Below are 17,272 nucleotides of genomic sequence, written 5' to 3'. Positions count from 1 at the left end.
AACTCCCAAAGCCCAAGTGGGCATGTGTTACAGTGCATTCTTTTAGATTTGCTGTCCACAGACGGCTTAAGTGTTAACAAGCTCAGTGCCCTCGGTACCTAGGTCCTTGTCCAGTGTCCAGGAAGAATCAGGTCACACAGACTTGAGGATGGTGAATGCGGGGATTTTACTGAGTGGTGGAGGTGGCTCTCAGTGGGATGGATGGGGATGGGGTGGGAAGATGATCTTCCCCTGAAGCTTGGCTGTCCAGTGGCAGATCTCTTCTCCAACCACCCCAAGCTGAATTCCTCTTGGCATTCAGATGCTCCTTCTCTTCTCTCTGCTGTGCCGTTCTGCCGTTCTTCTGTTCTTCTCATCTTCTGTGGAGCCTGGGGTTTGAGGTTTATATGGGTACAGGATAGGACGGTGTGGCATGCCAAAAGCCAACTTTTGGGCATGAAAACAGAATGCCTCTTCCCACTGGAGCCATGGGTTTCCATGCCTGTGGGTGGGGTCTTTGCCAGGTGACTGCCCTCTTCTACCTAGTGTTTCCCTGTCTCCTGCCCATATCACTGGAGGTGTCTGTGAGGGTGTTGCAAAAGGAGATTAACATTTGAGTTAGTGGACTGGGAGAGGCAGACCCACACTCAATCTAGGTGGGACCATCTAATCAGTTGCCAGAGCGGCTAGGATAAAGCAAGCAGAAGAACGCGGAAGGGCTAGACTTGCTGAGTCTTCTGGACTTCATCTTTCTGTTGTGCTGGATGCTTCCTACCCTCAAACATCAGACTCCAAGTTCTTCAGCTTTTGGACTCTTGGACTTAGACCAGTGGTTTGCCAGGGACTCTCAGGCCTTTGGCCACAGACAGAAGGCTGCACTGTCAGCTTCCCTACTTTTGAGGTTTTGGGACTTGGACTGATCTACCACTGACTTCCTTGCTCCTCAACTTGCAGATGGCTTTACCTTGTCATCATGTGAGTCAATTCTCCTTAATAAGCTCCCTTTCATATATACGTATATCCTATTAGTTCTGTCCCTCTAGAGAACCCTGACTAATACAATAGGATGCACACACACACACAAAACCAAAACCAAATAAAAGCAAATAAAACAAAAGCTCAGGTTTCTCTCCAGTTAACATTCAAAACCAGAAAAATATGTAAACCATGTATATTAACAAAGCTCTTTTTTTTTTTTTCTTGAGACAGGGTCTTCCTCTGTTGTCTAGGCTGGAGTGCAGTGGCACAATCATGGCTCACTGCAGCCTCAACCTCCCAGGCTCAAGCAATCCTCCCACCTCAGCCTCTGGAGTAGATGGGACCACAGGTGCACACTACCACACCTGGCTAAATATTTTTATTTTTTGTAAAGACAGGATCTTCCTAACAGCCCAGGCTGGTCTTGAACTCCTGGGCTCAAGTGATCCTCCCACCCTGGCCTCTCAAAGTGATGCGATGACAGGCATGAGCCACCATGTCCAGAATGTACAAAGTTTCGAAGGGAAAAAAAGTATGAGCAAATATTTTTATATTTAACCAAACTGTTGTTGAAGTATAAAGACAACAACAGACACTTTCAGACATGCAACAGCTTGAGTCCTTCCTGAAAAAGTCACATGATTCCAAAATCCAGCTAACCAAGAGATAAATGTGAAGCCCTAGTAAAAAGTCTGATAAGAAGAACTGAACCCATTTATACTTAGAAATAAAGCTAATCAACAGTGTGAAGTATGTTTACAAAAGGGAAATGTTATACATTTCAAAAATAAAAGTAAATAATCAAATTAAACAGAAAAATAAGGGTGAAAATTCCTCATTTTTCTTTATTTTTTGATGCTAAATTAAGAAACTGAGATTTAAATATCCTCTTTAAAATTAAGGTAACCAAGCAAAAAGACAATATTAATAAGGAGAAAATATGTATGTTAATTTTCTCACTAATTTCAGTAAGTAGGCAATAGATAATTGATAAATTGCTAAATGGATGCTAAAAACACTATAAAGTTATCAAATCTCTAAAAGACCTAAAAATAGACTATAAGTCTTTGACATAACAACAAAAAAAGCACACTTACTCATATGAACACACATACAAACATCAAACAACAAAAAGACAATCTGTGGAGTAAGAGAGGACGAGTGGAGGTGGTGGTGAGGGGGACATTAAAAACAGAGGTAAATATCTGTTGTATCAATTAAGATTCTTTAATAAGGTCAAAACATAGAAAAAACAGATCTATAGATATCCACATCTAAAACAAACTGTTCAAGAGTCTATAACTCAGAAACTTTAAAAGTAAAAAAAAGAAGTCAAAGATAAACCAGGTAAATGATAACAAAACCAAAAAGAATCATAATATTAATATCAGAAAAGAGTAAAGTTAAAAACTATCAAAGAACATAAAGGGTTATTTTACATTCAACAATAGTAATTGAGCAATTACTAGGCACCAGATACTATTCTATATACTGTTAGAATGGGCAGACTTTAAATCAATAATAAGCTTATAAAAGTCATAAATCCTTCAGTATCAAAAACAATATGTCAAAATTCATAAAAGCATAAACTTATAGAAGAAATAGACAAAACACAATAATAGTAAAAGACATTGTCAGCTATGACAGAACAAGGTGACAATAAGAAATATATGATACAATAAAAAGATTAACCTATTAGATGCACATCAATAAGTGCATATTTAACATAAAACTTATTTTCAAGCACTAATGAGATATTTTAATTTTAAAAATAAGGAATACATTAAGCCACAAAGTAAAGCCTCAATACATTCCAAGAAAATGAAATTTGAAAAATCTTCCCTGACCACACTACAATAAAACTAAATATTAATAATAGAAAGAAGAAACCTAGCCACCTGAGAATATTAAAACTCTTTTAGGTCTTGATATAAAACAAAAAGTTAAAACTGAAATTACAGAGTATATAAAAATAAAAATATTGAGGATACTATCAAGCAAAAAACTTAAGAAGCTGGGCTGAAAAACAAAATGTTATAGAATTAAACGTTTTACCAAGCAAATTATAATTAAAAAGAAATTTTTTTTAATATTCTATTCAAAAAGGTAGAAATAGATAAATAAAATAAGCATAAGGAAAGTAGAAGAAAAAATAAAAGCAGAAATTGATGAGTTAGAAAACAGAAAAACAGTAGAATATATAATTAAATTAAAGATGTTGTTCTCTGGGGACAAAACAATAAAATAGATAAAATAGATTAATCAAGAAAAAGAGGAAAACACAAATAAAAATAGAAAAGAAAAAGATGCATAAGAAATTCAAAAATTATATGACTACTTTGAAAATCGCTAAATAAGTAAATATTTTTTGTAATTATAAATAATTATAAAATGAATGCTTTCTTAGATAAATACAAATAAAAAAAATTGAACCCAAAAGAAATAGAAAACTTAAGTAGACATATAATGGAAGAAATTCAGAATAATAAAAAAAAAGAGCTAGCCCTCAAAAAGCCACAGGCTCAGATGGTTTTAACAATAAATTCTTCCAGACCTTCAAAGAATAGATAATTCCAATGCTATTTATGTTTTCCAGGTCATGAAGAAAGAAAAAGATAATTCCAATGCTATTTATGGTTTCCAGGTCATGAAGAAAAAAACTTCAAATCACTTAGAGTAAAATAACAAAATATTCCTACAAAAACATGATAAAAGTAGCACAGAAAAATAAAACTGCAATCAACCTCACTTCGGAATACCTGTATAAAAATACTAAATTAAAAATCAGCCAATAGGAGAATCTCGAGTTACAGGCAGAGCAATATGACCAAACAGAAGCTTCCACTGATAGTCCTCCCTATAGGAACACCAAACTGAAAAACTATCCACACAAAAAAGCACCTTCATAAGAACCTAAAATCAGATGAGTGATAACAATATCTGGTTTTAACTTCATATTACTGAAAGAGACACTGAAGAGGGTAGGACAGACAATCTTGAATTGCTGATGCCACCCTTCCCCCAATCTCCCAGCCACAGTCATGTGGCACGGAGATAATCTGTGCACTTGCGGGAGGGAGAGCACAGTGATTGGGGAACTTTGCATTGGAACTCAGTACTGCCCTGTCACAGTAGAAAGTAACACCAGGCAGAACTCAGCCAGCATCCACGGAGGAAGCATTTAGAACAACCTAGCCGGGGGGAAATTGCACCTCCCAGTGATAGGAACTTGAGTTCTGGCAAGCCTCACCACCGTGAACTAAATTGCTCTGGGGTTCTAAAGAAATCTGAAAGGTAGTCTAGGCCACAAAGACTGCAATTCCTGGGCAAGTCCTGACGCTGTGCTGGGCTCAAAGCCAGTGGACTTGATGGGTATGCAACCTAGTAACACATCAGCCAGAGCCAAGGGAGTATTTGTGCCACCCCTCTTCCAACCCCAGGCAGTGCAGCGCACAGCTCCAGAAGAGACTCTTTCCTTCTGCTTGAGGAGAGGAGAGGGAAGAGTAAAGAGGACTTTGTCTTGCAACTTGGATACCAGCTCAGCCACGGTAGGACAGGGTACCAGGAAGAGTCCTGAGGCCCTATCTCCTCTACGACATTTCTAGACACACCCTGGGCCAGAAGGAAACCTGCTGCCTTAAAGGGAAGGACCCAGTCCTGACAGGATTCATCACTTGCTAATAAGAGCACTTGGGCCCTGAATATTCAGCGGTGGTACCCAGGCAGTATTTGCAGCGGGCCTTGGGTAAGATTCAAAGACATGCTGGCCTCAGGTGTGACCTACCTAACTGTGGTAGCAATGGGGAGGGACTCCTGCTTGAGAAAAGGAGAGAAAAGAGTAAAGGACACTTTGTCTTGCAGCTTAGGCAGCAGCTCAGCCACAGTAGGGTAGAGCACCAAGTGGGCTCTTAGGGTCCTCAGTTCTAGGCCTTGGCTCTTGGATGGCATTTCTGGACCTGTCCTGGGCCAGGGGTTGGGGAAGCCTACTACCCTGAAGGGAGAGTCCCAGGCCTGGCAGCATTCATCATAAGCTGACTGAAGAGCATTTGGGCCTTGAATGAACATTGGCTGTAGTCAGGCAGTTCTTACTATGGCCTGGGTGGTGGCCACAGGGAGACTCCTCTGCTATGCAAAGGGGAGGGAAGAGTGGGAAGGACTTTGTCTTGTGGCTTGGGTGCCAGCTCAGCCTCAGTATAATAGAGCACCAGGTACATCCCTAAGGTTTCTGACTCAGGCCCTGGCTTCCAGACATCATCACTGAGCCCATGTAGGACCAGGGGGATCTTGCTGCCCTACAGGGGAAGGACACAAACCTAGCTGGCTTCATCACCTGCTGACTGCAGAGCCCTAGGGCCTTGAGTAAATGTAGGCAGTAGCCAGGCAGTGGTTACTGCAGGCCTTGGACAAGAGCCAGTACTGTGCTGGCTTCAGGTCTGACTCCACATAGTCTCAATGGTGGTGGCCATAGGGGTACTTCTGTCACCCCTCTCCCAGTTCTAGGCAGCTCAGGAAAGAGAGAGACAGAGACTCTGTTTGTTTGGGAGAAAGTAAGGAAAGAGAACAGGAATCTCTACCTGGCAATCCAGAGAATTCCTCCAGATCTTATCTAAGACCACCATGGTGGTACCTATATGAGTCTGCAAGAACCACAGTGTTACTGGGCTTGGGGTGTCCCCTGATGCAGATATTGCTGCTGTGACCAAAAACTTAGATCACAACACTCATGTCCCTTTGAATACCTGGAAAGCCTTCCTAAAAAGACAAGTACAAACAAGCCCAGACTGTGAAGAACACAGTAAATACCTAACTCTTTAATGCCTAGCCACAAAGAAACATCCACAAATGTCAAGACCATCCAGGAAAACATGACCTAACCAAACAAACTAAATAAGGTACCAGGGACCAATCCTGGGGAGACAGAAATATCTGACCTTTCAGGCAGAGAATTCAAAATAGCTGCTTTGAGGAAACTCAACAAAATTGAAGATAACACAGAGAAGGAATTCAGAATCCTATCAGATAAATTTAATAGAGATTGAAATAATTTAAAACAATCAAGCAGACATTCTGGCATGGAAAAATTCAACTGACATGCTAAAGAATGCATCAGAGTCTCAACAGCAGAATTGATCAAGCAGAAGAAAGAATGAGTGAGCTTGAAGACAGGCTATTTGAAAATATAAAGTCAGAGTAGACAAAAGAAAAATGAAAAATAAAAAAAAGAACTCACACTTATAAGATCTAGAAAGTAGCCTCAAAAGGGCAAATCTAAGAGTTAATGGCCTTAAAGAGAAGGTAGAAAGAGAGAAAGGGGTAGAATGTTTATTCAAAGGGATGATAACAGAGAACCTCCTAAACCTAGAGAAAGATATCAATATTCAAGTACAAGAAGATTATAGAACACCAAGCTGATTTAACCCAAAGAAAACCACCTTAAGACATTTAGTAATCAAACTGCAAAAGGTGAAAAATAAAGAAAAGATCCTACAAGCAGCAGGAGAAATGACAAATTACATACAAAGAGCTCCAGTCATCATCTGGCAGCAGACTCCTCAGTGACACGGCATATTTAAATTGCTGAAGGAAAAAAACTTTTATCCTAGAGTAGTATATCCATCCAAAATATCCTTCAAACAGGAAGGAAAAATAAAGACTTTCCCAGACAAACAAAAGCTGAGGGATTTGATCAGCACCAGACCTGACCTCCAATAAATGCTAAAGGGAGTTCTTCAATCTGAAAAAAAGGATGTCAAAAAGCAAGAATAAATTATTTGAAGGTACAAAACTCACTGGCAATAGTAAGCACACAGAAAAACACAGAATATTATAACACTAATTGTGGTGTGTAAACTATACATATCTAGAAAGACTAAAAGATGAACTGATCAAAAGTAATAACTACAGCAACTTTTCAAGACATAGACAGTACAATAAGATATGAACAGCCAAAAAAGCAGGGAGATGAAGTTAAAGTGTAGAGTTCTCATTAATTTCTCTTTGCCTGTTTGCTTATGAAATCAGTTATCATTAGTTTATTAATAAAATAATGGATTATAAGCTATTATTTGCAAGCCTCATGGTAACTGCAAATCAAAAAACATAACAGATACACAACAAATAAAAAGCAAGTAATCAAAACATACCTAGAGAAAATCACCTTCACTAAAAAGAAAAAAAGGAAAGAAAGAAGAGATAACCACAAACACAATCAGAAAATATAACAAATGACAAAATGGCAGAATTAAGTCCTTATCAATAATATTGAATATAAATGAACTAAACTCTCCAATCAAAAGACAGAATGGCTAAATAGATTTTTTAATGACCTAATGATCTGCTGCCTACAAGAAACCTACTTCACTTATCAAGGCACACACGGACTGAATATAACTACTTTGGGATTCTATTTGGATGGAAAAAAAATATTCTATGCAAATGGAAGCCAAAAAAGAGCAGAGGTAGCTATACTTACATTAGACAAAATAGATTTCAAGACAAAAACTATACAAAGAGACAAAGAAGGTCATTATATAATGACAAAGGGGTTAATTCAGGAAGACAATATAACAAATGTAAATATATGCACCTAACACTGAAGCACTCTGATATGTAAATTTTAGAGCTAAAGAGAGGCTCCAATAAATTAATAGCTAGAGACTTCAACACCTCACTTTAAGCATCGAACAGATCATCCAGACAGAAAATCAACAAAGAAACATTGGACTTTATCTGCATTACAGACCAAATGGACCTATTAGATAGTTACAGAACATTTCATACAATGGCTGCAGAATACACATTTTCCCCAGCACATATATCACTCCCAAGGATAGATCATATGTTATGCCACCAAATTAGTCTTAAAAAATTCAAAAGAATTGAAATTATATCAAGTATCTTCTCCAACCATGACGGATTAAAACTAGAAATCAGTAACAATAGGAATTTTGGAAACTGTACAAACACATGGAAATTAAACAATATGTTCCTGAATCACCAGTGGGTCAATGAAGAAATTAAGAAGGAAACATAAAAGTGTATTGTATCAAATGATAATAGAAACACTACATACCAAAACCTACACGATACAGTGAAAGCAGTGCTAAGAGGAATGGTTATAGCTATAAGTGCCTACATACAAAAAAGTAGAAAAACTTCAAATAAACAACTTAATGATGCATGTTAAAGAACTAGAAAAGTGGCTGGGCACAGTGGCTCACACCTGTAATCCCAGCACTTTGGGATGAAGCAGGCAGGTCACTTGAGGTCAAGAGTTTGAGACCAGCCTGGCCAACATGGTGAAACCTCATCTCTACTAAAATACAGAAATTAGCCAGGTATGCTGGCACACACCTGTAATCCCAGCTACTCAGGAGGCTGAGGCAGGAGAATCACTTGAACCCAGGAGGCAGAGGTTACAGTGAGCCAAGACTGTGTCACTGCACTACAGGCTGGGAAACAGAGCAAGACTCCATCTGAAAAAAACAAAACAAAAAAAAGAACTAGAAAAGCAAGAGCAAACCAAAACCAAAATTACTATAAGAAAAGAAATAATAAAGATCAGAGCAGAAAGAAGTAAAATTGAAATGAAGAAAACAACACCAAAGTCAAGGAAACAAACAGTTTGTTTTTTGAAAAGATAAATAAAATTGACAAACCTTTTTGTTTTTTGAAAAGATAAATAAAATTGACAAACCTTTAGCCAGACTTAAAAAAAAAAAAAGACAACTCAAATAAATATAATCAGAGATGAAAAGGAGACATTACAACTGATACCACAGAAATCCAAATGATCATTAGTGGCTACTATGAGTAACTATATATCAATAAATTGGAAAAATCTAGAATAAATGGGTAAGTTCCTAGACATATACAACCTACCAAGATTGAACCATGAAGAAATCCAAAAACTAAATAGACCAGTAACAAATAAAGAGATCAAAGCCATAAAAATGTCTCCCAACAAAGAAAATCCTGGAACCTGATGGCTTCACTGCTGAATTTTACTAAACATTTAAAGAAGAACTAATGCCAATCCTACTCAAGCTATTCTGAAAAATAGAGGAGGAGGGAATACTTTCAAACTCATTTTATGGGGCCGGTATTAGCCTGATACCAAAACCTGACAAAGGCACATCAAAAAAAGGAAACTACAGGCTAATATTCCTGATGAATGTAGAAGTAAAACTCTTCAACAAAATATTAGCAAACCAAATTCAACAATACATTAAAAAGATTATTCATCCTGACCAAGTGGGATTTATCCCAGGAATGCAAGTATGGTTCAACATATGCAAATCAATCAATGTGATACATCATATCAACAGAATGAAGGACAAAAATCATATGATCATTTCAGTTCATGCTGAAAAAGCATTTGATAAAACTCAACATCACTTCATGATAAAAACCCTAAAAAAAACTGGGTATAGAAGGAACATACCCCAATACAATAAAAGTTGCATATGACAGACCCACATACTGAATGGGGAAACATTGAAAGCCTTTCCACTAATATCTGGAATATGACAAGGATGCCCACTTTCACCACTGTTACTCAGCATAGTCCTGGAAGTCCTTGCTAAAGCAATCAGACAAGAGAGAGAAATAAAAGGCATCCAAATTGGAAAGGAAGAAGTCAAATTAGCCTTGTTTGTAGATGGTATGATCTTATATTTGGAAAAACCAAAACACTATTAAAAAACTACTAGAACTGATAAATTCAGTAAAGTTTCAGGATACAAAATCAACATACAAAAATCGGTAGCATTTCTATATTCCAATAGCAAACAACTGGAAAAAGAAATCAAGAAAGTAATCCCATTTGCAATAGCTACAAATAAAATACCTAGGAATTAACCCAAAAAAATGAAAGATCTCTACAACGAAAACTATAAAACACTGATGAAAGAAATTGAACAGGACACACATGAAAAGGGAAAGATATTCTATGTTCATAGTTTGAAAGAAGCAATATTGTTAAAACGTCCATACTACCCAAAGCAATCTACAGATTCAATGCATTCCCTATCAAAATACCAATGTCATTCCTCACATAAATAGAAAAAACATCATAAAATGTATATGGAGCCACAAAAGACCCAGAATAGCCAAAGCTATCCTGAGCAAAGCAAACAAAACTAGAAGAATCACTTTACCTAACTTCAAATTATACTACAGAGCTATAGTAACCAAAACAGCATGGCACTGGCATAAAAACAGTTATATAGACCAATAGGACAGAATAGAGAACACAGAAACAAATCAATGCATTCACAGTGAACTCTTATTTGACAAAGCTGCCACAAACATACATTGAGGAAAGGACAGGCTCCTCAATAAATGGTGCTGGGAAAATTGGTTATCCATATGCAAATGAATGAAATAAAATCTAAATGGATTAAAGACTTAAGTCTAAGACCTCAAACTATGAAACTACTCAAAGAAAACAATGGAGAAACTCTCCAGGACGTTGGTCTGGGCAATGATTTCTTGAGTGATACCCTACAGGCACAGGCAGCCACAGCAAACATGGACAAATGGGATTACATCAAGTTTAAAACTTCTGAACAGCAAAGGAAACAATAAACAAAGTGAGGAGACAACCCACAGAATGAGAGAAAATATTTGCAAACTATCCATCTGACAAGTTATTAATAATGAGAATATATAAGGAGATCAAACAACTCTATAAGAAAAATCTAATAATCTGATTTTAAAATGAACAAATGACCTAAACAGATATTTCTCAAAAATGGCAAATAGGTTTATGAAAAGGTGCTCAAAATCAATAATCAGAGAAATGTAAATCAAAATTACAATCAGATATCATCTCACCCCAGTTAAAATGGCTTTTAACCAAAAAAACTAAGCAATAACAAATGGCTGGTGAGAATGTGGAGAAAAGTAGACTCTTGTACACTGTTGGTGGGAATATAAATTAACACAATCACTATGGAGAACAGTATGGAGGTTCTTCAAAAAACTAAAAATAAAACTACCATATGATTCAGCAATCCCACTGCTAGGTACACCCCAAAGGAAATGTTATCAGTATATTGAAGAACTATCTGCACTCCCATGTTTATTGTAGCACTATTCACAATAGCCAAGATTTGCAAGCAACCTAAGTGTTCATCAGCAGATAAATGGAAAAATAAAATCAGGTTTATATATACAATGGAATATTATTCAGCCATAAAAAGAATGAGATCCTGTCATTTGCAACAACATGGATGAAACTGGAGGTAATTATGTTAGGTGAAATAAGCCAGGCACAAAAAGACAAACTTTGCATGTTCTCACTTACTTGTGAAAGCTAAATATTAAAACAATTGAACTCATGGAGACAGAGTAGAAGGATAGTTACCAGAGGCTGGGAAGGGTAGTGGTGATGGGGAGTAGGGATGGTTAATGGGTACAAAAAAATAGAATGAATATGATCTAGTATTTGATAGCACAAAGGGATGACTACAATCAACACTAATTTATTGTAAATTTAAAAATAACTAAAAGTATAATTAGATTGTAATACAAAGAAATGATAAATACTTGAGGTGATGGATACCCCATTTAACCTGATGTGATTCTTATGCATTATATGCCTGTATCAAAATCTCATGTACCCCAGAAATATATACATCTATTATGTACCCACAAAAACTAAAAATTAAAAATAAACAAACATAAAACCACAGAAAAAAAATCAGCTATTAGAATTTAGCAAAGATAATGCAACATTAGGGAATATATTACTATGATTTTCCCATTAATATATCAAAGTATGAAACACCATTAAAAATGGAAATCCAAAATGAATCTGGTAAGTTTTAATATCTAATTTTTAGAACATTAAAAAATTCAAATGGGTTAATTCCTTTCTAGCATTTAAACAGCACAGAAACATATCTCTCAAACCAAAAGTCAACATCTTAGTTAATAATGGATTTCTACAACCATTGCTAATAAAAATCAAGAAAAAAGACAAGTATCTCTCACAAACACTATAAAATTTTGCATTGTTTTTGAAGTATTAGCCACTGTGATTAGACAAAAAAACATAGAAATAAACACTGGGAAGATGGTGAATATAAAATAAATAGTGGAATGATTTATTCCTGGAAAATCAAAGTTTAACAATGAAAAAAATTAAGTTGATTCATTGAGGAGCTGAGTATAAAATTAGCATCTAGAAATCAAGCAATTTCAAAATATATTTTTCTATATGTTAAAAGTAATCAGCCAGAAAGAAAATAGCATTTTAATAGGAATTAAAGAGAGTAAAATGCCCAAAGCTAAACCTAACGAGAACAGAGCAGAATGTATAAAAGTAAAATCTTAAAATCAATGGATTAAATGAAAAGAGACCAAAAAAATGCAAAACCATATACCTTATGCTTGGATAGAAAACCTTACTGTGAAGATGTCAATTCTTCCTAAATTTAGTCTGAAAGTAAATAATTGTTTTTTTTTGAGACAGAGTCTTGCTCTGTGGCCCAGGCTGGAGTGCAATGGTGTGATCTCAGCTCACTGCAACCTCTGCCTCCCAGGTTCAAGCAATTTTCTTGCCTGAGCCTCCCAAGTAACTGGGATTACAGGTGCATGCCACCACGCCCAGCTAATTTTTTTGTATTTTAGTAGAGACGGGGTTTCACAGTGTTGCCCAGGCTGGTCTTGAACTCCTGAGCTCAGGCAATCCACCCGCCTTGGCCTCCCAAAGTCCTAGATTACAGGCATGAGCCACAGCGCCCAGCCGCTTTGTTTTTTTTTAAGAATTTGACAAAATGATATTAAACTTCATTAGAAAATTAAACACATGAGGGCTGGTCACAGTGGCTCACACCTGTAATCCCAGCACTTTGGGAGGCCAAGGCAGACAGATCACTTGAGGTCAGGAGTTTGACCAGCCAGGCCAACATGGTGAAACCTCGTCTCTACTAAAAACAGAAAACTTAGCCGGGTGTGGTGCAGGTGCCTGTAATCCCAGCTACTCAGGAGGCTGAGGCAGGAGAATAACATAAACCTGGGAGGCGTAGGTTGCAGACAGCTGAGATCACGCCACTGCACTCCACCTTGGGCAATGGAGTGAAACTCAGTCTCAAAAAAAAAAAAAAAGAAACAGAAAAAGAAAAACACATAACATGAAAATTTTAAAAAAGAATAATTAGTGAACATAATTTGACCAGACACTAAAACATGTTATACTGCTAGAGTAATTAAAACATTATGCCACAGGGGTAGAAATAAGTAGTCAGATCGTTAGACTAGAAACCAAAAGTAGACTCAAATACACAAAGAAATAGGGTTTATGATAAAAATCACATTACAAATCAATAGGCAAAAGATGGACTAAATAATACTGTTCAATAAATTATGCTGGCTTAACTTGCTGGCTGTTCAGAAAAAAAGTTAAGCCAGATTGCTACCTCATTCCTTTCTCCAAAATAGAGTATGGTGGCTCAAAATTTTTTAAAAAAATATAGCTAAATACATTATAGTCTTGGTGTAGGCAAGAAATATTTTCAAGTAGAATAGAAAACTCACAAGCCCTAAGAAAAAAATTGATAAACATAATTGCATACAAGTAAAAAGGTCTCTACAACCAAAAGAATTGTTGTAAGTACTAACATTTTTCCAAAAAATAAATAGAAAAGAAGGTTTGTATCAGGAGCTAATTTTCTATCAAGAGTATATACAATAAAAAAGAAAAAGACTCAAAAAATTTAAATGTATAAAAGATGCTAAATCTCACTAGTAAATTTTAAACGGCAAATCAAACTAATGAGATACCATTTGTCTCCTATCACACTGTCAAGATTTTTAGAAGTTTGATAATAGTGTTAAGAGAAATAAGCACTCTGAGACAACATGAGCGAAAGCGTAAACAATCTTTGTGAGGAATTATTAGTCAAAATCTACCAAATGCCCATTCCCTTTGTCTCTGTAATTCTACTGGTAGGCATTTACTTTACATATATAATCAAAAAAAGCACACTTAGATTTATATTAACAGAACATAAAAGAAAAACCATCATCTCGATCGATGCAGAAAAAGCATTCACAAAAAATTCAACATTTATTCAAAATTTAAAAACAACAACAAAAATCTCTCAACAGACTAGAAAGTGAAAGGAACTTCTTCATCTGATACAGGAATCTAGGAAAAACCTGAAGTTAACACCACACTTAATGGTGAAAAACCGAATGCTTTCACCTTAAGATCAGAAGCCAAGGATGTCTGCTCTCATCATTTATATTGAATACTGTGGTGAAGCCAGAATAATAAGTCAAGAAAAAGAAAATTTAAAAATCCAGATTAGAAGGGAAGAAGTAAAATGGGCTTAATTTGAAGATTACATGATTATCTATTTAAAAAACTGATGGAATTTATAAAAACATTACTAGAACTAATTAGTGAGTTTATCAGAATTACAGGATACAAACAAGGTCAATATTTTAAATTCAATTATATTTCTACATACTAGAAAGGAAAACTTTTCAACAGTGCTAAAACAATTGTAGAGCAATATGCAAAAAGAAAAAAAGAATCTTTATCCTTACACCACATATAAAAATTAACTTTAATCATTAAACAGATGTAAGAGCTAAAACTCTATTAAACTTGAAGTAGATAGACATACAAGATTGTTCACTATAGTATTATTTTCAGTAGAAAACCAGATACAACCTAGAGGCCCATCATCATGGAGAGATTATCTAATAAATCATAATAGTTACATAAAATTAAATACAATGTAGCCACAGGTAACCACCAAAAAGAAAAAAGGTAAATTTTCTGCCAATTAATATGGAAAGAATGCCAAATATACAATTAAGATTTGTTTTAAAAGTGTTGAATAGTGTATAGAGAGGACAATTTTTGTGTAAATACAAAGAATATTTGCATTTCTAGTCATTTTATGTGTATATTTGTGTGTATGTCTCTATGTATGTGTATATCCTTATATACATTTTTCCAGAAGGCTACACAGGAAACTCTTAAACTTTAGGGAGAGGTGGTAAAAATCAGAGAGTTTGGAAAAGAGAGAAATTTATATGCTTTTTAAAATTATTACACATTTTTAGTCATGTTTTTTGCTAGTGCATATGTTATTCTACTTTTTAAAATAAATATTTTTTAAAAAAACATATAAGAGATCTCTACAGAGGAGACTATTATGACCCAAATGTGTGCTGAAGTCAGAGGATAGCAGAAACCATATGAAACAGAGGCTCATCCTGAGAAGAAAAAGAAAACAGAGAAATAAGAAACTGAAAGGACCATGCTTGAGAGAGTGAGACAAAGAGGATTAGTGAGTGGGTTCACTGTGAATTCTACATCTTGGCCCTCTGAGGCCTGCTAAGCTTTGCTGTCTGTCCTTGTAACCCATGAAATTTCCTACTGCATTCTTCCAAGCAGCCCCTCTTTTCATGAGCTGATTTGAGTTTCTCGTGAGCTAGTTTTAGTTCCTTAACAACCCCAAATTGGTCTAGTCTGATCCCTTGTTGAATACCCTGAATTAGTCCCTAACGGAGGTACAGCCTTACCTTGTTGAAAGTAAAGCACTCTGCAGCATGCACCCTGTGAATGTCTGCAGTTAGTCAAGCCTAGCGAGCATGATTTAAATAGAAACTTGCCCAGCAACATTTTATACTCATTAGAAAATTCATGATGAAGATTTCCATTGCTCAGTATGCTATTCAGAATATTTTTTCTAGATGTTATAGTATGGTATATATGAATCACAAATCATAGAATGCTTTCAAATCTAGAGAATAGATTTTAGAAAGAAGAAATCGGAAACCTGAACTGTGAAATGTCAGAGGAAATCTGTACAAATATTAAATATAACACCCAGAGATACACAGAATAAGGAAACACATACCATACAAGCGTGAGTAAATTAGAGAATAATTCCAAACCAATACATAAGCAAGTGCATAATAGTTGTGTTAGTCCATTTTCTGCTGCTGTAACAGAATACCACAGACTGCATCATTTATAAACAATAGAAGTTTATTTGGCTCATGGTTCTGGAGGCTGGGAAGTCCAAGATCAAGGGGCCACATCTGGTGAGGGCCTTCTTGCTGCATCATAACATGGTGGAAGGTCTCACATAGTGAGACAGGGCAAGAGAGTGAGAGCTCAAGAGAGAGAAAAAGGAGACTGAACCTATCCTTTTACTAGGAGCCGTCTCCCACAATAACAGCATTAATCCATTCATAAGGGCAGAGCCCTCATGACCTAGTCACCTCTTAAAGGTCCCATTTCTTCTCACAATGGCAATTAAATTTCAACATGATCTTTGGAGGGGACATTCAAACCATAACCATGGTAAAGACGTAAGAGTAGGAACTGGCTTCTTCACAAACCACCTATCTGGATGCTGCTAGATAGGGCCTGTTCAAGTATAGCTCAAATGTCTTCTCTTCTAGGAGGCCTTTCCTAATTTTCCCACTAGAACTGACCTTTATGGTTCCACTGATTATGTACTCTTTTCCTTTCTTTAAATTTTATTTTATTTTAAGTTCCAGGTTACATGTGCAGGACGTGCAGGTTTGTTACACAGATAAACATGTGCTATGGTGGGTTGGCTGCACCTATTAAGCCCCCCATGCATTAGCTATTTATCCTGATGCTCCAGGGGAGACACTCAGGACTGGCATTTGACAGAGCTTGGTAGAGGAATCCAATGATCTCTAGGTTGATCTCTAAGTTCCATCTCTAATGTTCTATGGATTTTAAACCTTGAATATACAAAATTACTGAGAGGAAGAAAAGAATCATGGCATAATGGAATTTATCTACTATTGTTTACATTGTCATGTTACCAAATTAACAAATCTGTCATGATATTGCAGTCACTAAGGAACAATACATACCCACAGCTCTTACAAATGATTAACTAAATGATCAGATTTTTCATTTCCCCACCAAAGCATGAGGAAATTTATCTTAGCTTTAGCTGCCTGAAACCTCTCTTGGGTGAAAAACATTAAAAACATCTGCAAATTACTGATGACTAATGCCCTTCAATTTGGCCTCAAGCTGAGAAATTCTGTGCAGAAATAAAGTGGTTTATAATCCCACAGGTCCATTCTATTATAAACTGCAGGTGGCAAATCAAGTGACTATGAACTATGCTGTGTGTATGTGTGTGTGTGTGTGTGTGTGTGTGTGGTGTGTGTCTGTGTAAAAAGCAATACTCAAGAGGGTGTTTATCCTACTCCTTCAAGAGAAATTTAACCACCCAGACAAAAGGCAAATGCTAACTGAGAGGACCCAGGAATCTGGGTGATGTCAGACAGAGGCCCA

At 36.3% G+C, this 17,272-nt stretch overlaps 1 protein-coding gene across 8 annotated transcripts in view, besides 1 other annotated feature; it reads right to left on the bottom strand.

Annotated features, from left to right (window-relative positions):
- The window catches only part of MYO3B (myosin IIIB), a 477,021-nt gene that overhangs the window by 459,482 nt on the left and 267 nt on the right, over window positions 1–17,272 (bottom strand). For 3 of the 8 annotated variants that reach the window (XM_011510654.4, XM_006712299.5, XM_011510655.4), the window contains exon 1: window positions 15,505–15,556. The exons of the other annotated variants lie outside the window; for them this stretch is intronic. In XM_011510654.4, coding sequence (XP_011508956.1) covers window positions 15,505–15,533 — 29 coding nt within the window. In that variant the 5' untranslated portion in view covers window positions 15,534–15,556. Of the gene's footprint in view, window positions 1–15,504; window positions 15,557–17,272 lie in introns of those variants that run through there. 8 annotated transcript variants of the gene reach the window in all.
- Window positions 15,128–15,357: an enhancer, noted in NCBI's record as "active region_16743". NCBI's record gives its function as "activates an Ori minimal core promoter by ATAC-STARR-seq in GM12878 lymphoblastoid cells {active_cell/tissue: GM12878}" and the evidence as "EXISTENCE:reporter gene assay evidence [ECO:0000049][PMID:35858748]".

This window comes from Homo sapiens, chromosome 2 (genome assembly GCF_000001405.40).
Source record: "Homo sapiens chromosome 2, GRCh38.p14 Primary Assembly".
Taxonomy (NCBI): domain Eukaryota; kingdom Metazoa; phylum Chordata; class Mammalia; order Primates; family Hominidae; genus Homo; species Homo sapiens.
The sequence above is the reverse complement of the archived record's forward strand: the minus strand, read 5'-3'. Positions and strand labels throughout refer to the sequence as shown.